The sequence below is a fragment of the Homo sapiens genome, chromosome 8 (genome assembly GCF_000001405.40).
Source record: "Homo sapiens chromosome 8, GRCh38.p14 Primary Assembly".
Lineage (NCBI taxonomy): Eukaryota > Metazoa > Chordata > Mammalia > Primates > Hominidae > Homo > Homo sapiens.
In genome coordinates, this window is record NC_000008.11 from 131965821 (window position 1) to 131990817 (window position 24997).

General features: G+C 33.5%; 1 protein-coding gene across 11 annotated transcripts in view; it reads left to right on the forward strand.

Annotated features, from left to right (window-relative positions):
- EFR3A (EFR3 homolog A) overlaps window positions 1-24997 on the forward strand; it is a 109550-nt gene that overhangs the window by 61728 nt on the left and 22825 nt on the right. For 10 of the 11 annotated variants that reach the window (NR_136615.2, NR_136616.2, NM_001323555.2 and 7 more), the window contains exons 9-18: window positions 2475-2610; window positions 4656-4823; window positions 10207-10321; window positions 11221-11272; window positions 13027-13199; window positions 13526-13601; window positions 18319-18480; window positions 19109-19240; window positions 20374-20441; window positions 21755-21882. Coding sequence is in view for 9 of the 11 variants with exons in the window: in NM_001323555.2 (NP_001310484.1) it covers window positions 2475-2610; window positions 4656-4823; window positions 10207-10321; window positions 11221-11272; window positions 13027-13199; window positions 13526-13601; window positions 18319-18480; window positions 19109-19240; window positions 20374-20441; window positions 21755-21882 (1210 nt within the window). In the remaining 2 variants the exon portion in view is untranslated. Of the gene's footprint in view, window positions 1-2474; window positions 2611-4655; window positions 4824-10206; window positions 10322-11220; window positions 11273-13026; window positions 13200-13525; window positions 13602-18318; window positions 18481-19108; window positions 19241-20373; window positions 20442-21754; window positions 21883-22869; window positions 22921-24997 lie in introns of all 11 variants that reach the window. The other variant, NM_001323558.2, reaches the window with a different exon arrangement.

A 24997-nucleotide genomic window follows, 5' to 3' on the forward strand; every position in this document is an offset into this window, starting at 1 on the left:
ACAATGATAGACTGGATTAAGAAAATGTGGCACATATACACCATGGAATACTATGCAGCCATAAAAAATGATGAGTTCATGTCCTTTGTAGGGACATGGATGAAATTGGAAACCATCATTCTCAGCAAACTATCGCAAGGACAAAAAACCAAACACCGCATGTTCTCACTCATAGGTGGGAATTGAACAGTGAGAACACATGGACACAGGAAGGGGAACATCACACACTGGGGCCTGTTGTGGGGTGGGGTGAGGGGGAAGGGATAGCATTAGGAGATATACCTAACGTAAATGACGAGTTAATGGGTGCAGCACACCAACATGGCACATGTATACATATGTCACAAACCTGCACATTGTGCACATGTACCCTAAAACTTAAAGTTTAATAAAAAAATAAATAAATAAAAAGCAACAAAAAAAAGAGTTTCTGCATGACCTTAGACAAGTTACTAAAACTTGCCTTATTTATACTGTGAAGAGCATGGAGTAATTACGGTGAACCTACCTCCTAGAACTGTTTATGTAAATAATACATATATAGTACTTAGAAGAGTGCCAGTGCTTCTGGTCACTTCTGAATGAAATGCTCTTTTGTCGTCATTATTGTTATGTTCAATGTTAATAGTCATATATTAGCTCACAAGTCACAAATTGAAAAGTAGTAATAATAACTAATACATATTAAGCATTTTTCATACAATAGACACAATTTGGGTGCTTTATACAAATTAACTCATTTAATTGCCCCAAGAATCCTATGAGTAATTGTTATTGTTTAAATATTGTAGATGAGAGAAACTGAGTTACAGGGAGATTAAATAAAATGCTCTCTTAATCTGAGAGCTATTTAGCTATTAAATGATAGTCAGAATTCGATCTTGGGCGAGTTTGGCTCCAGGGCTTATGTACTTCACCACCACTGTATTATGTTGCGTCTTAAAGCGATTCATCTGTTAACATTGCCTTAAACTTCAGTGTAAGGGCAAATTTTACCATAGGTAAATGAAACCTCAGTACACATGACTTCAACATACTGTATTACGTCTTCTCACTTTCCTTCCTTTCACTCCATATTCTTTTGTTTAATACATGATATCATTCTTGAGTTGTTCTTTATAAGTAGAAAGAACACATGCTCTGGTTTGCTTAGTATAGTCGTACTTTATAATTATTGATAATACCTCCTTCACTCTCTGCAGTGTCCCCATTTGGACAGTAAATCAAATGGCTACCTTACCTATAAAGGCAGACTAATAATTGCACAAGGTTCACACATCAGAAGCATGCAGCTTCCTGGACAAGAAGTTCAGTTTCAGGTTTTGTGTGTGTCTTCCTGCCTAACATTCATCTATTTTAACATAACTTTAAATGAAACAAAGTAAAGATGAAAACACAAACTTAGTTTTTACCTTGGGTGATTTTAAAAGTAGATGTGTATTATGACAAAAATTTGAGAAATACCTAGAGATGAAATCTGTTACTTGATAGAGAAGGAGGGGAACTTTTTGCTTTTGAGCAGAGTAACCATTATGCATAGGGCACTCCTGCTTCTTATCAAACCACACATTCCAAAGGAAAGAAAGGTAACCAGCCTGAAAACAGGGCAGAGGGGACCTGTCTGAAGACAAATACAGACAGGGAGATTGAGAGCCACAGGTGCTTTTTACAGCTTGGTGGATGATAGTAGACCGATCGTGACTCATGGGTGTAAGTGTAGGTTTTAAAAAAACAAAACTTTGCTGTTCTTCAAAAAAAAAAAAAAAACCTATTCACTGGAGTTAAGAATAAACATTTTTTTGGCTATCCTTTTTTTGATTTAGGCCCCAATATCATTCACTATGGTTGATCAATTTTATTTATATGTGATAAAGTTGCCTTTGTTAATTGCACATCTTTTGAGATCTCCTTGATTTAAATTTTGTCAGGTACACATGGATAATATTTTCATTTTGACACTAGCTCTTGATTAGATGAGTGTTTTGACTCTTTAGCATTGTTAGGTGTCCATGTTAAATAGTATTTATCTAGTTTGGCTATGGGAAAATACTGTGAATGTCATAATTTATGTTTTTTACAAAATTTTGTCCTATTATAAAAGTTTATAAATGCACTTTGAAATTACAGAGAAATATAAAGATAATGAAGTTTTCTCATAAATCCCTTTCTCAGAGGTGGCCAGTGTTAATCTTTTTATATATAATTTTAATTTACTTTTTAAAAACTAGATTGAATTTTATTAAACATAGAATTGTGCAGTATGCTTTTTTTCACTCAGAGTGTCATAAATATTTTCCAGCATCTCTGTTTATTCTTTAAAAGAATGGCTTTGTATTGTGGCTATTTATTGTCTCATAACATGACCACCAGTCACTAATTGGTCATTTACGTGTCAGGTGTTTTTTTTATTCTTAGGAATTCTGCCAAGGTACATGTACTTTTTATACATCTTTGTACTGTTTTGTCTCCTTCAGGCTCAGTATTCTCACCATGTGATCCAGGAGATTCTAGGACACCTTGATGCTCGTAAAAAAGATGCTCCCCGGGTTCGAGCAGGTATTATTCAGGTTCTGTTAGAGGCTGTTGCCATTGCTGCTAAAGGTTCCATAGGTGAGTGCCAATAAATAAAATAAAATAGTGCGTTGATCTGGTTCAAAGTGTCCTTTCAGTATGCATAGCAGTGTATGAAGAACTCTTTAAGAATATTTCTACACATTTTTCGGTGTACAATAATTTTTTTTGAAATTTGGGTTCATGCAATTATTTTCAGGCTTCTTTAGCACACAGTTAAGTATTTTCCTTCACATCAATTCCTCCTCCCTTTCCTTCTTCTAATAAAGGTTTTTGAGTATTGATTATATACTGAACATTGAGAGAATGCAGATATAAGAAACTGATGGTGTACTTGTGATTAGACAGCTCCACCTAATACTGTAATATGTGGCAAGCTTTGATCACATATCATTTAAAAAGCCAGGGTTTACAGAAGGGAGGGAAAATGGATTAGGATTAGCACAAGCAAAATTTTATGTGGCCCATTTTGGGTAGAATGTATGGTGTTAGTTTAGAAGTCAGAGAAGTGGCTTTAAAATTAAGTTGTAGCCAAATTGTGGACATAGTTCTTCAGCTGATTAATAGTCCTTAAAGATTTACTGTAATCTTCATGAGAAATGTGCTATAGGATAATTTTTCTGGCAGCAAAATGTAGGGCACATTAGAAATAACAAGTCAGTGTCATTGTTATATCCATGTGGAAAAGAACTTGCCCTTGCATGGAAGCAGTAGGAATGACAATGTCAAGTTGATAGGATTTGATAATGGGTTAATGAGAAAAAGGGATAGTTCAAAAATTACGATATTTTACTTACATGTAACTACAAAAATGAAATAGTGCATATTAGAAATACAGAAGTTTGAAGGAGAATCTGGTTATGGTTTCTTTGCTTGAAATTCAAAGTGGAAATATATTATCTAATGATATAGTCATCCCTCAGTATCTGCAGGGGATTGGTTCGAGGACCCCTGAGAATACCTAACTCTGCAGGTACTCAAATTCTGTATATAAAATGGCGTAGTTTTTGCATATAACCTTTGCACACCCTCCAATATACTTCACATCATCTTTAGATTATTTATAATACCTAATGCAGTGTAAATGCTATGTGATTAGTTGTTACACTGTATTGCTTTTTTATTTGTGTGTGTTTTTTTTTTTTATCGTGGGTTTTTTTTTTCCCCCGAATATTTTCAACCCATAGTTGGTTGAATCTGTGAATCCAGAACTGCAGATATGGAGGACCAACTGTATTCCTTTGTTCTTTTATTGTCAAATAAAGGTGGGCATCTTGGATGTGAATTTTCTGTTTTATCTTGTAACTTGAAGAGATAAAACTGGTTATTTAATTGGAAAGTTATTTAATTGCAAATAATGAAATAAAACATAGATGATACATTGAATCATCACATCGATTAATGTCTACTGTGTGTTAGGTACTCTGTGCTAGGCTCTATACGTTTGAAGAGGCATTTAAACACGGCTGCCTTTCCTGAAGAAGCTTAAATCAAGAGTAAAAGGCAGAAATGAAACCCACTAATTAAAATAAAGTGGACAGAAGCAGTGATAGAAACACATGCAGAGGATTTATACAAAAAGCGAGAACAAATGCAGTTAACCTGAATCTAATAAATTTGGTAGTTTCTGTCTCATAATTGAGGCATATTCTCCCTTCAGTCTCAAAAGATACAAAATAAATATTTGATGCTTCTGTGAGCTATATTACATAATTTTGTGGATTCTTACCTAGCAGTTAAGTTAAATATTGTCCTAGTACACATTATTGTGAACAGATAAGATTAAATAGTTAGAAAGTTTTTGGTAATTCTTATATGCCTATACACATTTTTTAAGGGTGGAACCAGAGATTCAAACGGTGAGTTGCTCATAAATGCCCAGTAAATGTTTGTTGTTATAATGAGTGTCTTTCTTAATTATTTCTCATTTACTCTTTTTTAAAAAAATGAAATAGTTTATAAATTACTATGGATTTCTGACTATTTAGAAAATTACAGAAACAATCTGTGGAGAAATAAGGTAATTGACTTCAAATATGCAATACTAGAAACATGTATCTTCTCACATAAGTGATCCTTTATAGGTCCGACAGTGCTGGAAGTCTTCAATACCCTTTTGAAACATCTGCGTCTCAGCGTTGAATTCGAAGCAAATGATTTACAGGGGGGATCTGTAGGCAGTGTCAACTTAAATACAAGTTCCAAAGACAATGATGAGAAGATTGTGCAGAATGCTATCATCCAAACAATAGGTGAGTACATTTCACTTTTCAAAACTATCATGTAAAACAGTGATTTACAAAGCTCTCACATAAGGTCCTGGACTATTATAGTACATTTGTCAAAGATGAATGATAGCTTAAATTTCTGAAAATTTAATTTTCGAAAACAAGCAAGCATGAGAATGGAACAAAGAACACTATGTTGTTCCATTAAATCTGCAGGACACAAATTCATCTATTGTTGACATTTTATGGCATTTACTTCTTCATTTGCTTTTACTCTCTTTTTCCTGCATCTCTTCCTCCCTTCTCTCTCTCTCTGTTTCTTTCTCTCCCTATGTGTGTCTCTTTGTGTGTGTATGTATATGTGGGAATACACACATACACATGCATATTTTTTTCTAAACCACGAGATACAGGAAGTTGCATACATCATGGTCTATTACCACTAAATACTTTGATGTATTTTTCCAAAAAATAAATGTACTTTTTAATATAACCAGAGTAAAATTGTCAACATCACTAAATTTAGGATTGATCCAGTACTTGAATCAGCCTTTCATATTTCAGTTTTATCAGTTGACCCAATAATGTACTATATTGACTTTTTTCCTTGAATCCAAGATTCAGTCTAGGATCATATATTGCATTTAGTTGTAATATTTCTTTAGGTCCATTAGTCAGGAACATTTCCATTATGACATGGACATTTCTTATGAGTAAAGTCCCCCTCCCACTTTTTTAAAAATAGAAAGTTCTTCATTTGGTTTTGTATGGTGTTTCCTTGTGATTAGGCCGTGCGCGGTGGCTCACACCTGTAATCCCAGCACTTTGGGAGGCTGAGGCGGGCGGATCACGAGGTCAGGAGATCAAGACCATCCTAGCTAACACGGTGAAACCCCGTCTCTACTAAGAATACAAAAAATTAGCCGGGCGAGGTGGCGGGCACCTGTAGTCCCAGCTACGCGGGAGGCTGAGGCAGGAGCATGGCGTGAACCCGGGAGGCAGAGCTTGCAGTGAGCCGAGATGGCGCCACTGCACTCCAGTCTGGGCGACAGCAAGACTCCGTCTCAAAAAAAAAAAAAAAAATTCAAGTTAGATATTCCTGACTGGAATACTACATACGTGATATGTTCTTCTCAGATTAGCACATCCAGAGGTGCACACTGTAACTTGCTCCTTTTTCATTATATTAATTTTGATCACTTAAGGCATTATTATATTCCTCCACTGTATAGTTTTAGTTTTTTCCATTGCAAATAATAAGCAACCTCTGAGAAGACACTTTCAGATCATGCGGATATTCTGCTTTTCATCCAGACTTAAGGTTAGATCTAGCAATCATTTATAATTCTTGTCTGAATTAGTCTTTACCATGATGGCTGCAAAATGATGGTTTTTAAACTCTAGCACTCCTTCCAAACCTATCAGTTGCCTCTCAATGTTCTATTGTAAGCAGGGGCCCCCTTTTCTACCTTTCTATGTATGTAGGAATGCATGTATTTGTTTATTGGTATGAACTCAATGGATTTATATTTTAATGGTTTATAATTCATTACTGTAGTTAATCATTTTAGTGCTCAGATTGTCCCTGATTTGGCTCATGGGAGCTCCTTCAAGACATCCCCCCACCTCCCTGAACCTTTTTTTTTTTTTTTTAAAGCACTGCCTTACTTGAGTAAGCGGTTCCAGACGAATTCTGTACTTTCTGCCCCAGCCCTGGAATCAGTCATTTCTCCAAAGGAGCTGCGGTTGTTTTTAGTGGATAGTAGTATTAGAGACTAAGATCTGGATGCTAATATCTTGGACTTTAATATCATATGCTTTTCTTTCTTTTTTAAATTTTCTTTTTTTTTTTTCCTGTCTGTAGTCAAAGTACAAACAGTGAAGAGCTTCCTTAAGAAAACAGCCATGAGAATTTACAATTTTGGAAATGAAATAATCTGACTGTATAAATACAGATTCAAGCAAGCAAGCTATTTTTCTAATTTAACTTTTTTCTTTCAATATTTTCTTTAGGATAGCCAGATCATATTTTAATATAACTAACTGGTTGCTATGATAATTTCACAATTGGATTGTATTCCTGGGGTCTAGTACCTAATTTCTAACCTAATAATAGTTTCAATTAATAGTAGAGTCATATATAAATTTCTTCTGAAACTGGGCTTATGCCTTTTATCTGGGTAATTTTTTCACTTATGGGCTACTTATTTATAATAATCCTTTGGGATACTTAATACAGAGTTTCTCTTGGTCATCTTGTTTTTGAAGTTTATGGATATGCATACATGCATTTTGCATCTCCATTGACACCACCTATTTATTTATTGGACATATGCGTACACCAGTTCTTGTACTAGGGCCTCATGATACATGGGGCTCTCACCTTGTAGAGGCATTTGTTGATCTGTGTGGAGTGGTACCTCTGTTTCATCTAGTTGCAGTCTCATCACATGTCTAGAAATTGTCCTCATTAAGGGAAATACCCAGGAGTGTCTCATTCAACACACTAACACAAAGTAGGCACTTAAGATTTTGAGATTGACTGAAAAGACAAAATATCATAAACTCCAACATTACCATGGAGTCATAATAAAGCATAGACATTCTAGTTATTGCTTAAGACAGTTAGTATTAATATATAGTGAACCTCGCTTCTGTGGTGACTTTCACATTTATTTCGGTTATTTATAGATTTTTTGCGATATTCGAGGATGTTAAATCAGCTAATCTTGTTTTCACAGAATTGATTTACATTGCTTTAATGACTTCTAATTAATTCAGTGTTACTCTTTCACTCTAGAATATTTAATGTATTGTTTCTTAAGTATTATAAAATGTATATATAGCAGACTCAAGCCATATTTCTGTGATACAGCACATTCAGAATAACATGTAAGAATTTAAAAATGAGAGGAAAGAAATGCAGTGTGGCACAGTAAGATTTCTCTTTTAAAATCAAACTTTTAAAAAAAATCTGGTTTCCTTAATAGTTTCCTTTTTAATTTCTCAGTATTCTGGCAGTTGTCAGATCATGGCGTTATTCCTGTCGGTGGGCCATGGAACAGGGCTGCTATAGCTTTTGCACTTTAAGTTATCAGGCTGTTGGCCAACTTCTCTTTCTTTTAAAATAGTGAAGAACATAGCTACCTGCTGTGTTCTTTTCTTCTGGGCTCATTTCTGTTCACTAGTTCAAATACAAACAGTAGGTATAGTGAATGAGATGCTTTTGGTGACTTTATCCTTAGAGTTAATCATGTTGAAGACTCCTACCCAATTTTAAGTTAAAAAAAAATCAAAGCAATTCTAAAGCATATATTAGTTGCATTTCTTTCCTACTATTATTATTTTTAGGTCTTTAATAGTCGTTTGTCTAATTAACATCAGAGATAGTGGACTCAGTTGACCATATACTTGGGAGACAAAAATAAGAGTTTTTCCTTAGGACAGTGGTTCTTAACTTTGTTGAACGTTGAAATTACCTCAGGATCTTAGAAAAGTACTGATGCTTGGACTCCCACCCCCAGATATTCTGACTTAATTACTTTGGTATGTAACCTATGCATCAGCATGTTAAAAGCTCCCCTAGGTAATTATAATATGCAGCAAAGCTTGGGAACCACTGGATTAGAGGAAACTATTCCACGCATTTGAAAAGCATGAAGAATGACCTTGAATCAGAGATACAAATGTTGTTGAATACAGGGAAGTATGATAGTGCTTGCTAACTCCAAACTTTTACTGTAGTTAGGTGCTGTGGTAAAGAGAAGTGCAGGGTACTTTATGTCCTTGTGGTAATAACTAAGTTGTTTGAAACAGAAGGTCAGTGTCCAGTTTTCTGCAAGACTAGGAATGTATCTAGTTGTATGGAAGAAGTATAGAATAATAATAGCATAAGCTTTGGAAATAAATAACCCTTACCTCAGGCCCTAATGTTAGCTGTGTAATTTTTTGGTAAGAGTTCTTGACTTCTCTTATCCTCATTTCCATAAGAGGAAACTGAGACAAATAATAGAACCTAGACTCAAAAGGTTATTTTGCGGATCCAAATACAAAATAGTTTCTTATTCCATAAATATGTATTCCGTAAGTGTTAACAACAATATACTTTATGGAGATGGAGTCATGTTAAGGTTATGAGATTTTTGACTGCTAATGTACGTGATTGTGGGAAATGACTTTTACCCCTAAGTCCAATCAAAATGATGAATAGAACAGTTTGAGTTTATATAAACACATCATTAACTCCAGTAATAGAAGCTCAACAGTTACATTGAAAAGTCAGCTTATTCTTAAAAAATACTAAAAATGCAGAAAGTTTCTGTAATGACTACATTGAATTTTAAGAAAGGAACATAACAGCCATGATTTGATAGTCTGTTCCAATCTTTCAAAGAAATAAGAAACTTTTAAAGTGTGAGTAATTGATAATTAAAGGTTATAAATCTTTTGTGACCAGGAAGTAAGTATCAAAAGCTACAGCAGATAAATTTAAAATATTCTCAGAAACTAGACTGCATAAGAAAAATGACAAGTAAGTTATTTACTTATTTTTTACATCAGTTGAATTATGTATGTTGAATTAATTCACAGGGGTAAACTATAAACTTGGCTTATTACAATGACATTCAAATATTTGAGAAATCCTGGAAAACCAGAGTAGTGACTAATTATTAACTTCTTTACCAGACAATGTGTGGCCTGATTACCGGAACAAAAATTTAGGCTTACGATGTGTGAACTAGAATTTCATCAGAAATACTACCAAAATATTTTTCCTTCTTTTTTTTTTCCTATTTTTTTTTTTTTTTTTTTTGGAGACAGAGTTTTGCTCTTGTTGCCCAGGCTGGAGTGCAGTGGCACGATCTTGGCTCACCGCGACCTCCACCTCCCAGGTTCAAGCAATTCTCCTGCCTCAACCTCCTGAGTAGCTGGGATTACAGGCATGTGCCACCACGCCCAGCTAATTTTGTATTTTTAGTAGAGACGAGGTTTCACCATGTTGGTCCGGCTGGTCTCGAACTCCCAACCTCAGGTGATCCGCACACCTCGGCCTCCCAAAGTGTTGGGATTATGGGCATGAGCCACTACACCCGGCCAATATTTTTCCTTTTTCTAAAACTCCAGTCAACTCAAGTCAGTCCCGGTTTGTCACTGTTATAATTATATAAAAAAAGACTTTGATATATTTATCATTTTATCTACCAGTCCATTATACACAGTTTATATTGTACATAACTAAATGATTTTGTACAAATGAAATTGTAATATCCTTTAATGTTACATGTAGCTTACAGACTTGTGAGGGATTGTTTTACCACATATTGAAAACTTTGGCTAAAAATAATTTTGTATTATATGGAAAAGTAGACTTTTTCAGTTTCTAAAATTTGTCTTAATACTTTCATAGGATTTTTTGGAAGTAACCTACCAGATTATCAGAGGTCAGAAATCATGATGTTCATTATGGGGAAAGTACCTGTCTTTGGAACATCTACCCATACTTTGGATATCAGTCAACTAGGGTATGTTCTCAGACTGTAAATTTGAACTTAATCTTGAGTTACATTTTATCCTAACGAAATCTAGAAAATGTTAACGTTTTGTTTTTTTTTAAAAATCATTAGTAATAGCATTCCTATGGAAAGCAGTTAGTATTATTATGACAGTAGATTGCTAAGCAATTGAATTAGCATTTTTAGGCCTTTAGAATCATTTTCAGCTTATAAATTCTCAGATATTTCCATCTTTAGAAATTGTTTGGCCTGGACATTGTGTGTGTGCATACACATTTAGGGTAAAGCTTCAAGTTTCCTGTATAAATTTTAAACATTAATGTCAATATATCAGAAATATTGGCTTATTCCTAGAATTTTAGAACTGAAAGTAATTTTAAAGATTATGTGACCCCCTTATTTTATACATTTAATTGGATTTTATAATATGCTGAAGTTTTTGTTTGTGAATGTTGTTTTGTTAATTTAATAAGGAAGTAATAGTATCTTATTCGACTTACATTTCTTTGACCATAATTTGTTATTTTTTAAAATTGTTCTTACCTGTTTATTCATATTTGTTAAAGAAAGATTATATTCATCAACTATGTAGTAATTATTTTCTCCAATTTAAGGTACCTTAATTTGGGTTGTTTAGTTGTCTGTTTATATGATTTAATTTTCTTGTCATCAGATGCATAGGACTGTTTGAGAGCCAATAACAAATTTTTTGTTTGATATTTTTAAATATAATAGTTTTAATTCACGTGAAATTTTACTTTGGCATGTGAAGTGAGCCATGACTTAAACTGTTACAAAAATAAAATCTATTTAGCCAATAAGAATAGAATTTTAAAATCAGTAATTGAAGTAAATGAAGTAATATAAATGCTAATTAGTATAATAATTCAGCCTTTTGTATATTTTAGGGATTTGGGAACCAGGAGAATTCAGATAATGTTGCTGAGATCTTTGCTTATGGTAAGGCATTTAAGACAAATAAAGGACACACTTAACCTTAAATTACTGAAAACATTAATTGAATAGCTTCATGTTACAACCGTTCTTTCTTAAGTAAGTTACTGTTTATGGTTAGTATTTTATTATGTTCTTCATTTTAAAGATTATCCAATTTTTTTACCGTTTATTTCTCACTTCTTCTGTCACTGTCTTTGATCTTCATAATGATGAAACATACAGAGGGCAGAAACTATTGCTGTCTTATAGACGAAGATACCTGGGCCCAGAGACTGTGAGTGGAAGGAGTTGATAAGGTCCACCAAAGTCACTGGGCTAAAAAACAGAACTCAGACTTGAAATCCAAAGTTCTTTCAACATATTATGCTAATTCTTTCTCATACTGACCAAATAATTGCTTCTGATTGGGAAAATAATTCATTAAAATGAATATTTGCCATTTAAAATTTGAAGTGGCTATAAGTAGCTGAAAAGGAAAAGTATACCCAGAATGAAAGGTCCTCTGGTTATTGTCTAGCAATTGTACTCATATTTGATTCAGCCATTGCTAGCACATATGCGTCCTCTCAAAATCAGTATCTTTCAGATTTATCCTAGAAATGTTTACTATACATGATCTAATTTTTTAAACAGACTCTCTCAAGTGCAGAAATACCTTGTGTGGTTGTATTTTTAATTTTTTTTAATTCTGTTTATGGCGCTTGTCATTTAGAAGTTTTGAATTCTAATATAGCCAGATTTATCAGTTTTTTCTATATGTTTTGCACTTTTTCATTTGTATCTTATATAAGAACTCCATTCCTCCTCTGATGATATAAACACATTTGTTTGTATTTTCTTATAGCAGTTTTAAAATTTTAGCTCTCTACATTTAGAACTTTAATCTGAAGTTTATGTTTATATGTGGTATGAGGCATGGATTTTCCCAGATGGGTAGACAGTTGTCCCACCAGTTTCCCAGCTGACTTATAAAACTATCTCCATCCTATAATAAATGCCCAAATGTAAATGTTAAGTATTCCATACATGTTTATAATCCTGAAAATATGTTGAGATCTCCCACCTGCAATTTAATTTGATCCTAAGCCTTTATTTATATTAAACAAATTCCCTAAGTAAATTATTTTGCCTTGCCTTTCTGATTATACCATATAGTCAACTGAATATATGTTATGCTTAAAATGTTTAATAGCATTTAAGTATATTCTCTTTAAAAGTTTTATGTTTAGAAGATATTGACGTACTCTTAAATGTCAAATCAAGTAACTAAGTACAGCTTTCCAAAATGAAAATGTATTCCTATTAACCAACTGCCTAATTTAAAATGAAAGAATAATTTGCAAACTTAAATTTAAAATTTGCAGGTCTTACTTTTACTCTTTGTCACCTAAGCTCCTTATATCTGTTTTGTACTAACCTTAACCTCTCTGTGCCTCAGTTTCTCCTTATGAATGGCGATTCACTAGTGTCTACCTTACAGGGATATGGTGAGGACAAAGTTAATACATATGCAGTGCTTAGAATCATGCCTAACACATGGTAAATGTGTGCTATTATTAACTTTATTTTTCTTATGAATGATGTTTTTGTAAATTCAGCAAAATCCTTCATTACTTTGCACATTTCTTTTATGTCTTTTCTCCAGGCTTCTGTCCATATTTTCTTTCCTAAGTTTATGGTTCTTATAAAAGAATATGAGAATTTTACAAAAAAAGGACTCATGACAAAAGGTTGTTTGTTTTCTTCTCGATAATCAGGTGACCTCTGGATATAAAGCGAAGACGATTGTTACTGCACTGCCAGGGTCTTTCCTGGATCCTTTGTTATCACCATCTCTCATGGAGGACTACGAACTGAGACAGTTGGTCTTGGAAGTAATGCATAATCTCATGGATCGTCATGACAATAGGGCAAAGCTTCGAGGGATCAGGTAATGTGCCATTTTGAAATGGATCTAATGATAATGTTTTTAAATTGCTAAATTAGTGTATTTAAGTATTGTGATTTTTAAAAATCTAGCATGTTCAGGTTTTATTAATCCATAATTTTATTTAATTGGTATTGAGATAATTTAATCAATATGTTTTAAGATAACAAATTTTTGGAGGGCACGTATGTACTCTTCAGAAGCAATTCAGTAGTATCATTACATACAGGCTTATCAAACTCCTAAGTATAAATACAATTTTCCATATAAGATGTGATATTGTAAATAAGTGTGCTATTCATTAAAAATGATATATTGATCGTCTCTAGAATAATACCGGATGTAGCTGACCTAAAGATAAAAAGAGAAAAAATTTGCAGACAAGACACAAGTTTCATGAAAAAGGTAAGACATCTTCTAAAAAAATAAATGTGTAGTGTAAATTACAGCCGTTTGAATTGTTAGGTGGTTTTATATTGATCTGTGCCCTTGAAATTAAGCCATAGAATTTTGAATTTGAAAGACCTCAAGACGCCATCTTCAGCCTCCCTCAAGTGTAACATTCCTGTCGGTGTCTCCTCCAGCCTGTATTTGAGCATTCTATTGTTGGGCTGCTGTAGTAGTTCTAAATTTCTTCTCTGAGTAAAATGTCTTCCTATAATTCTTGCCCTGGCAGTCCTCTCCCACTAAAAACACACGTACTGATTCCTCTTTTAGCAGCTCTTTTATATAGACAGCTTCAAGTTTCTGAAAATAGCTATCACCATCAAATAAATTAACTATGGTGAGTTTTTGCTGTCTTATTAGACATTGTTTTCTACACTATTTGGGATATAAAGATGAGTTGGGCAGGATCTCTGCCCCAATAATGGTTTTAGCTGGATTTTCATGATGATAATTTAAATTCTGTAGATCTACTGGCAAATGGCTGAATTTAGAAGATTATGATATTTATGGTTATTTGCATATTGAGTAAACTTTCTGTGCGGTTATTATTCGTCCAAAGCTTGGGCACCTAATATTTGCTATACACTGAGTCAATATTAAGAGATACGATAACCATGACACTGCCAGCTGCCCTTATAACGAACACAGTATTGCCAGCTAAGGGAGCCTGTTTTTAGAGGTGTGAGGAAAAGGAGACAGAGCCCCGTAGGAAGCTAGGTGTAGAGACCCGTAATCCATGTTCTTTTTTGCCTCTTTACTAGACCATGCTTTCTCCCTGACACTGTCTTTAATGTTTCTGTCTTTACCATTACTATTGATTGCTGTGTTTCAAGTTAACTCCATTTTAAAACTTCATTTAAAAAATAATTTACAAAATATCACTCTTCCTAAATTAATGTGATTCCTTGAATAAAATATTTAAATGAGGCTATACTGTATATCAAAAAACTGGTTAATAAATAGGACAGATACATTAATTCCTCTCAATTTTTATTTTTGTATTTCTTTATATCACCTAACTAATGAATTCTGCATAACTGAGGAACCTCAAACAATTTTTTAAAATATTTTTTATTGACATTATAATTATATACATTTATGGGATATAATATGTTTTGATTATATGTATATAATGTGGAAAGTTTAAATCCAGCTAATTAACATATCCATTTTCTTGCTTACCTATCTTGTTTTATGGTGACATACTTGAAATTTACTCTCTTAGTTATTTTGAAATATACAATACACTATTATTGACTATAGTCACCCTGCTGTGCAGTAGATCTCAAAACTTAACTCCTTCTATCTGTCTGAAACCTTGTAACCTTTGATCAATAATCTCTCCATACCCTCCTCCTCGCTTTCAGGCCCCAGCTCTTGCTAACCACCATTCTCTACTTCTGTGAGTTCAACTCTTTTAAATTCCACATATAAGTGAGATTATGCAGTATTTCTTGTGACTGACTTGTTTGACCTAGCATAATGTCCTCCAGGTTCATCCATATTGTCAAAAATGAAAGAATTTTCCTCTAGTGTAAGGCTGAATAGTATTTCATTTTATATATATATATATATATATATACACACACTACATTTTCTTTATCCATTCATCTGTTGATGGACACTTAGGCTGATTCCGTACTGAGGAATTTTAAATCATTACTGATATAATGAATTTTGTAAACTCAATTTATAACTAATTTTTGAGTTTTTGACTTTATGCAATGACATTAAACAGTCATGAACATTGAGACTGGATTTCATTTTATCCATTATAAGTTATAGAAATAATACTTCTGTTTATTTTGCTAGTCAACCAATTTGAAAAGCTGTAATTTAACGGCAAGATTAGACTATTATTTCATGTTAGATTTTGAATCCTTAAACTGTTCTCAGAATTAGTTATTCCTCTGTTTTATAATTTAAAGTAACTTTCCTTGCTAAGCATTTGTTGTCATTAATGTAAACCATTCCTTTTTGGGTCTTTCTCTTTAGAAGCAATGTGTTCACACTTTTTTTCCTTTGTCAAAATTTTATTTTTATAATTTGACACCATTTTTCATTTACCTTCCAATTTGTTTTATGAGTAAAAATGTTGTTTGATTTTCATATGAAACCTTAACTAGCAACTCAGATAAGTTTCTGCAAAGAACTAAAGAAAAAAAATTGGGTTCTGTAGGCACAGGATGATGGACTGGCCTTTAGTTAAGAGAATCCTAGTTTAGCATAGACAGTATATTTTCTATATTAACTTTGTTCAGGCAACTGTGTCTTAAATTACTACCCAGCCTAAAACTACTCCATCTGAATGTTTTAGGGGCATCTTATATACGGAGTCTGTTTGAAAAACGGTTCCAGGGCTGGAACCCCTTATACATTGGGAGGTATCACTTCACCTGTAATTTCCTAGTGAAGCGTATTCTTCCAGAGAAAATAGCTGCCACCACTGAGTCTACAACTCACTATATAGTTTCTCACCATGTGAAAAAGCTCTTGTTAATGTTTCACCTAATCAAGGAATTATGTCAAAAAGAGTACTTTTTATTATGAAATATAAAATACATGGGAATTATTACTTTAATTATTTTAAGGTGAACAACAGTATAACCAAAAGCATCCCACATGTTCTGTCTTCTTCATAACTCCATCCTCTCCCCTACAGGTAATCACTATCATTGCTCTGACTTTGATGGAAATTGACTCTTTCAAATTTTTTTTACAGTTTGATAACCTAAATATACATTATGTCCTTGAACTATATTGTTTAGTTTTGCCAGTTTTTGTAATTTGGGTGAAAGGAACCATACATTGTGTATTCTTTTAAGTTTAGGTTTTTTTTAATTCAGCTCTATTTTGGTAAAATTCATCTGCGTGTGGCTTCGATAGTATTCCATGATATGAATATACCACAAGTTTTCTTTTGTTGTCAGACATTTGAATTCTTTCCAGTTAGTGAGTGTTATGAACTGTGCTCCTAAAAACATGCTTGTACACATGTTGTGCTGTATATAACTCCCATTTCTCCAAGGCCTGTAAGAGAGGAATTGCTGAGTAATAGGTTATGTATTCTTCAGATTCACTAGATAATGCCATACCAATTTGTAAAGTTATTATACCTATTTGTATTTTTACATTACATATTACAAATTTTTTATTTCATCTAATATGGTGACTATGTAGTAGGTAATTTTTAAAAACAAACTTGAATTACTTAAGGAACTTGAAGTCTAAATTATCACGTATGTATGCACCACTTTAATGTTTGTTAATGATGTTTAGAACCATAGAATTCAAGAATATTCTGAGGTTTTGAGAGGACCCAATGCATAGTTTTTTTTACCCCACCCAAGTATAGAAACCTTATGTGTTTGAGAGAGAGAAAGAACGAGAGAGACAAACTCTAGATTCAGAAAGGTGGAAACCAAAATAACAACTTCAGAAATAAAGGAATCTGGTGGGTAGCTTTATGTCTGTAGCCAAAAAAGGCTTACTAACACTGTAACACACATTTAAGCTGACTTAACCAGTCAGTCATTGTCACAGCTGGAGAACTATAGGCCTCCTTACGGGGATGGGACCTCAGTGCATATTAAATAGAGAACAGAGCAGAATGCATACTTGTTACAGACATACTGGCTTCAGAAGAGTCTGTGCTGTTCTCGCCCAGTTTCTTCTCCTAAAATGATCAGAAGAACCTTCTGAGAAACAGGCTTGGAATATTAAGCCTAAAGTCTCTCCACATGGGAAAAAATGAGTGTTCTTAACCCTGCCTGCCTATTATAACCACATGGGGAGCTTTATACTTGAAAAATACTGATGCTTGTGCTTTGCCACTGACCAGTTACATCATATTGGAGGAGGGTGGACAGTAGTGAGAAGTGGGGAGGGCAAGAGCATGGTGGTCATTCCAGTTGTCCAGTGATTCCAGCGGGCAGTTAGAGTTGAGAGCTAATTGAGTTAATGTCGCCATTGTGACTGGATGTGGCATTGCACCTGTATCCAGGAATGCTTTAGAAAGGAAAGGCTTTAATAATCTTTATTATAATAATAAATAATAAATCTTTATTATAATAATCTTTACTTAGATCAGTCTAGTTTAGGGGAAACCTCTGTGCAATACCTGGGGAGTTTCTATAACCTCTTCTCTGTTAATAGGCTTTAGACTCGCCTTCAGGGACTCCATGCCAAAATGTAACAGAACCTGCAGATGCTCTTCTCTGTACGGCTAACCCACAGCACAGGGATTGTTCCCCAGTCAAGAGAGCCTCAGTACATTTCCTCTCAGTACAATAATCTTTATCATTGCTGAGGCTGTATTGCCAAAGTGTCTCAGGATTCTGCCATCCATTTCACTTTTTTTCTCAAGTCAATCCATAATTTGCTTTTGTTTTTTCAAATTACTATTAAAAAACATTTTCATTGTTAGCACAGGAACTATTTTTTACTGGTTATTTTTATTTAAGGTTTGTCTTCAACTTTAACATTAGTTTGTAGTTGTATATTAGCATGTTGTTTGATATTTATAATTGAAATTTGACTATCTGATCAACTTAAATTTCATTTCCATGTTAAGCTATATAATAACATAGCTACACTGTAAAAGTATATGCATGTGAAATCTGCCTTTTCTACATTTTAAGCAAAATTACCTTTGTCCTCTGTCTTTTCTCCTCAGAATGGGCAACAGCTGTATCGGCACATATATTTGGGTTGTAAAGAGGAAGACAACGTTCAGAAAAACTATGAACTACTTTATACTTCTCTTGCTCTTATAACTATTGAACTGGCTAATGAAGAAGTAGTTATTGATCTCATTCGACTGGCCATTGCTTTACAGGTATGCTTTCATAACCGTTCACTGCAGAAAACATTTTTTATAAAGCAGACAACATCTTTGAAATGTTGCCGTTATCCAAGGACATGAATTTTAAAAGGGAGGTATCTAGTTGTAAATCTAAAATACTCAAGACTATGACTACATTCTTCATTTATTCCTTTTACATATGTTGCATGAGCATCAACTGGTGTGCTAAATATCCTTCAAGGCCATAGGGATATAGTGTGATGAAGCAGACAAACATAGTCCCTGTATCCACACTTCCTACACTGGGGGGGATAGTCATTAAATAAGAATGACATACATGCAGTTGTTTAATTAGAGTTGCGTAAGTGTTATGTAATAGAAGGACAGTATGCAATGGCCATATATGCATGTCCGTGTGTGTGTGTATATATATATGAGAACAGGAAAGGCTTTCCTAGGGAAGAGAGTTTAAGTTGGAAAAATTAACTCTCTTGTAAAAGAACATTTGTTTTCCTTTCAGAATTGTTTTAGAAAATAACTTCTGATAAAGTGGCATTTTTGTTAGCTTTCCAAACTACCTGCAGTTTTCCAGTGTAATCAGAGAAAATGCTGGTGAAGTATAAGAACTTGATCTCTCTGATGTGTTTGTTTCTTATTAAAGGACAGTGCAATTATCAATGAGGATAATTTGCCAATGTTCCATCGTTGTGGAATCATGGCACTGGTTGCAGCATACCTCAACTTTGTAAGTCAGATGATAGCTGTCCCTGCATTTTGCCAGCATGTTAGCAAGGTAATGTATTTAGAAAAGTCCTTAAACTTGAATTTTGTACAAAATTGCTAATTTTATTCCAGTGATGATTATTTTTAACTTTGGTGATTACGTATCAAATTAAGGTAATTCTATAAAAATCTACAGCCAGTAAACTGAAACTACAGCTAAAACTGTAGCTACTGTTTTTATATTTTCTTAGATGCATGTTGTTTTATTATAATAGTTTAATGTAGTGGTTGAATGGAATATGTGGTTTTCTTCTAGAATACCTTATGTGATTTATTCTATGACTTTTTTCCTTTGAACCCTTATGACTCTTAGTATGTAAATTTTCTTAAATTATACTCTTTTGTTGTTTATTCTAAACTACTTGAGGCAGATCTCAAAAGTTGAATAATTACTGTGCATCTCAGAGAATTGTCTTGTGTCTTTCAAATATATTTAGTTGTCTTTAGCAGTAACTCTTACATGGTTATTTGCATGACTTAATAAACATTTCAATGCCCCCAAGTTACCTAGCAGAAAAAGTCCACTTTTAAAGACATCTGTAAGAGAGAACTTTATTTTTCTTAAATTGGAAGCACATCATTTAGTCCTTGCTAAAATGTAGACTTGTAGTGTACTCTAAGAAACAAAACTCATCCATTCATTAATCAGACATTTGAGTGAATATTTGATGCCCACCACTAGAGAAGTAAATACTACAAAAGCAGAGTACCTCTTTGCTCACAGTTCATTGGAGGAGCCAGTCCACACAAGTGCCTGGAGACCTTGTACACAGGCTGCAAAAGGTAATGCAGCAGGTGGAGGATGGTGATTTGTAAAGCGATTTCCAAAATAGTGCATTTGAGAAAATAGATATTCTTGCTTTATTATAATAGGCTTAATCAAATGTAATGTGTCATCATTTTTTGCTTTATATATTATTTTATTGTCACAGTTTTATCTGTTAAATTTTAAAAATAATAGATGTGAAAACAAAACAAACTTTACATTTGGGCTGTAAACTTAGCTTAAATTCAAAAACAAAGTGATGTTATTTCTTATAAATGTTTAAAGTTGTTTTTTTTTAAGCTGTTTTCTGAATTTTTATAGCAAGGTACTGAGGGGTAGGGTTTTTGATTTTTGTTCTGTTTTTGAATATTTTTTAGGTTATTGAAATTCGAACTATGGAAGCCCCTTATTTTCTACCAGAGCATATCTTCAGAGATAAGTGCATGTATGTTAATTCTTTACATTTTAAGGATGGGGTACTGACTTGATAAACCCATCAGTAATAATTATAAAGGAGTAAATATTGTTACAATAATTCCTGGTGCTTTATACTAATCATCATTTTGTGTCTGTCATTTAATTCATTTAATTATTTCCCTTGTTATAAAAGGGCCTGCACATTATGGATGTTGACTTATGCACAACATGGAGTCAATCTTGAAAAAATTTTTTAAGAATAAGACTTGGCCAGGCGCAGTGGTTCACGCCTGTAATCCTAACACTTCGGGACGCTGAGGCGGGTGAATCACCTGAGGTCAGGAGTTTTAGACCAGCTTGGCCAACATGGTGAAACCCCGTCTCTACTAAAAAATACTAAAATTAGCTGGGTATGGTGGCATGTGCCTGTAGTCCCAGCTACTCAGGAGGCTGAGGCTGGAGAATCGCTTGATCCCAGGAGGTGGAGGTTGCAGTGAGCCAAGATCACACCACTGCACTCCAGCCTGGGTAAAAGAGCAGAGCGAGACTCCATCTCAAAAAAAAAAAAAAAAAAAGAATAAGAAAACTTACCCCACTTTTTAAAAACTGTTGGATATGTCTCTTAAATATAGCATATTTTATGTTCTCATATGTAAATGATCAAACCTTTAAGAGAGTACAGTATCCTGTTGAAGACGTTCAGTAATAGGTAACAATACTCAAAATATTGTGGAAGAAAGAATGTATTAAGGAAAATCCGTGTTATTTCCTGCATTATTTCTTGTTCTCTAAAGAAAAGTATATATATGAATAATATTTTGTTTGAACTTTTGGGCTATAAAAGCAGTTTATTTTGAAAGCATCAGCATAAGATAATATCAAGCAGTTTGCAAGGAAAGTGAAACCTTATGTGGGTGGGCAAGTACTTCCTTACACTTAGCTGGCTAATGTGGTTTTCATTAACAATCAGTGGGCTAATGATTTTTTTTTTATTTTGTCTCTCAGTACACTTTTTAATTAACATGACAATAAAAGCTACATTTAGTGTTCTTTATTACTTAACAAGTAAAGATCAACAGAGTAATACAAGGCTGAATTCACTATTGGAATGTTACTGAGAGAAGAATCACTGCAGAATGGTTAATATATGGGACCACATACTGTGTGTTTTTAAAGAGCTCAAATTAGTTGCCTAAAATATACTGATTTTTCTGCTACTACAGTTTACATTGTGTTTATATTTAGAATATTGAGGCTTTTGCTCTGGAATGTTTTGCATAGTAACTTATTTTTGCTCAGTAATTTAATACTGAATGATTGTTGTTTTGATGAACTTCGCAGGCTTCCAAAATCTTTAGAGAAGCATGAAAAAGATTTGTACTTTCTGACCAACAAGATTGCAGAGTCGCTAGGTGGAAGTGGATATAGTGTTGAGAGATTGTCAGTTCCGTATGTACCACAAGTAACAGGTAAGAGGAGGATAATTAGAACTTTCACTCTGGTGATTGCTTATGTTATAGTAAATTTTTCATTACCCAGTTAACAATGAAAATTAATTCTGGTGTGTGTCCTTACTATAGCCCAGCCATTTTCAAATGCTTAAGAGTATTTACTTCTGTTTTTTAATTTTGCTATTGAAAACCTTCAGTAAATCTCTAACGACATAGATATGATTTTACCAGGAGCAAATCAAGTCCTTGAATATTTATTGTTACAATACTTAATATTTTATTTAATAGTATATTTTAAAGTGAGATCTTTTCTCATTAAATGATATTCTATTTAAGTTATGGAAATTGATGAAAATTGTTTAATGATAAGTGATTATTTAGGTTAATGAATTAGGCAACTTTCGTTATTTGAAAGAGTACAGACTTGTTATATAAATAAAACTACAAACTTTTTGAGTTAGGAATTTTTTTTTCTCTGTGAACTATATATTTTCTCTGTGAACTATATATTTTCCCATTGCTTGAAATAATTCTGTTTGAAGGCAAAATTGCATAGTGTCTTGTATTCAACTTTTACTGTAAAAATTAAAATCAAAGAATTTATGTCTTATGCTTTCATTTTAATTTGGTGACTATATAAATATTAAATTTTGTAAGTGAATTAGTTCTTTGGGGATACCTCTGTTCTACAAGAGAACCATTTGATTTCACTTAGAAAGATTTCTGGATTAGTCACTACAAGTAGTGCAGTCTTTGTAAATGGCTTTTTTTTAATAACATGGATCCAAAATATATACATTTAGTACAGTAATAGTTGTTCATAACAGTCTGAGATGTTAATGAGTGCTTTTGCATTTTCTTTTAAATTTTATGCTTTAAAAGATTGTGTTCCTCAGGAACTCCTTGAGGAAATAAAAGTGCTAAGAACAAAAGATTATTAGAGCTTTATAATTTAAAATATTAAAAAAACATTTAAAATATTTTACTCTTATAATTTGAATTTAGCTCTCTTTCCTTCAAGCAAAAAACCTCTTAAACCCAGGCACAAGCACAAAGGTAAATCCAGTTGTCAGTTTGGCCTGCCTTTTCCCTTACCTGTCCTCTAGGAAAATAGCTTAATAAAATGTGCCTTTTAGAAAATGGGGCCAGTGGCCTGCATATTTTCTATAATTAGTTTAATTATTATTTTCCTTTATCTTCCTTATAGCCCTAGTTTATTTTTACCCCTGTTATTTCTTTTTACCCTGTTCCTTTAACTCTTAACAATTTTTAATGAAAGCTCTGGTACTTTCAAAATTTTTAACAAATGGTCTGCACTTCCCTGATTCCTCCCATCCCTAAAAAAGATGTATTCTCTCATAATGCATCTCTACCAATGACTAGAAGAATTCTGAATATTTTAGTGTCTACTTAATTGTATAACTGCACTACTAGAAATCCTACTAGATTTTTCTGATTTGTGAAGACTGATAGTTTAGAACCTATCTGTGGCATTAGTATCCTACCTTAATGCAGAAACAGAATAAACAGTGATATTTTATGGGATACTGAATCTGTAATTAAATTTCCTTTTGCTGTGTAACCATCAGATATTCATTTAAAAAATTCAAGGGATTTAAGAACAATGTATTAAAATAAAAAGCAGAACATATTTAGTTTGTTGTGTGTCATGTAGTACCCATCATCATCACAATAGTAGCTACCATTTATTATGCACTGTGTGCTAGGCACTGTGATAAGTGCTTAGTATTCATTTTCTTATGTAATTCTCATAATGGTTTGGTGAGGAAGATAGCATTATCTTTGTTTACAAATGAGTATAGTGAGGCTAAAATTGAATTAAATGATTAGGTGACACCACTAACAGCCTCTCCAGTTAGTTGCTTAATAAATTATTTGATTTCACTATTTTTCAGGGACTCAAATATTGTTCAGGCATCCAGAAAGATCCAGATTGATTTTTATCATTTCTTTCTCTAATTTCTACTGAGTGCCTACAATGTAATATATATCAAGCACTGTTATAACTTTCAAAGGGTAGAAAGGTGTTAAGATGCAATTCTTATCCTCAAGGAATACAATCTAGTGGGAAAAGCAGATGAATGAATGAAACACAGTGATAACTAGATCTAGAGAAAGAATGATGATCTACCTAAAGTTTATTGAACTATTGATGCCTGGCATCATCATAATGTGGTTGATAAATGTTAGCTGATTATTGTATTTTACTTATCTCTTATCAACCTAGAATTCGAATGAATAGTGTATGTTTAGGCCTGTGCCAAGTACTGCTTTGTGAGGGGAAAACAGTAGTGTCCCCCATCTGAATCGTTCAGAGGTACCAGTGGCTTCAGTCAACTCATACAGTTATTTAAGTATTAAGCGAGCACCTCCAGTGTGCCAGCTGCTGTGCAAGCAAAAGCCAGAATGAACAAGACGGGTAGGTCCCTACTTTCACAAAGCTCACAGTCTCTCTTAAATGTATTGTTCACTTGAACCACAAAACACAGCAGCTGATTTGGTATTATTCTAGGTGCATAGGAAATAAGTTAATTTCATTATATAATTTTTCTCTAAGAAGATAAATAACCAGGCAATTGTAATATGACTATTCAGCTATTATTAGGGACATTTAGGGTCCTCCAATAGCACATACAAATATTTAATCCAGGTTTGGCTGGCCAGGGATATCTTCCAGAGGAAAAAGCCTCTAAGATGAGCTTGAAACAGGTGTTAGGCAAGTAAACTGTGCTTCATATGGTAGTAACACATGTGTGAAGGAATGAGGTAGGCAAGAACAGGATTTGTTCCGTGAATTAATATAGAGTAACAACAGACTTCAGGGAGTGGAGTTAGGAATTGTAAAGCAAGGTGAACTAGTTTGAACTCTGTTCTGAAGGCAATGGGGAAGCATGAGTGATTTTAATCAGAGGATAACATGATCAGAGTTGCATTTTAGAAGTAGTACTTTGGTTGTAATTTTGCAAACTGGAGATGGGGTGACTATTTATTTTGATGGCATGTTAGTCATCCTTAGGAGAAATGACAGTGGCCCATAATAAAGAGGCATCAGTGAGGATACAGAGTAGGTAGATTCTAGAAAAATTTATGAGAGAGAATTTATAGGCATTTG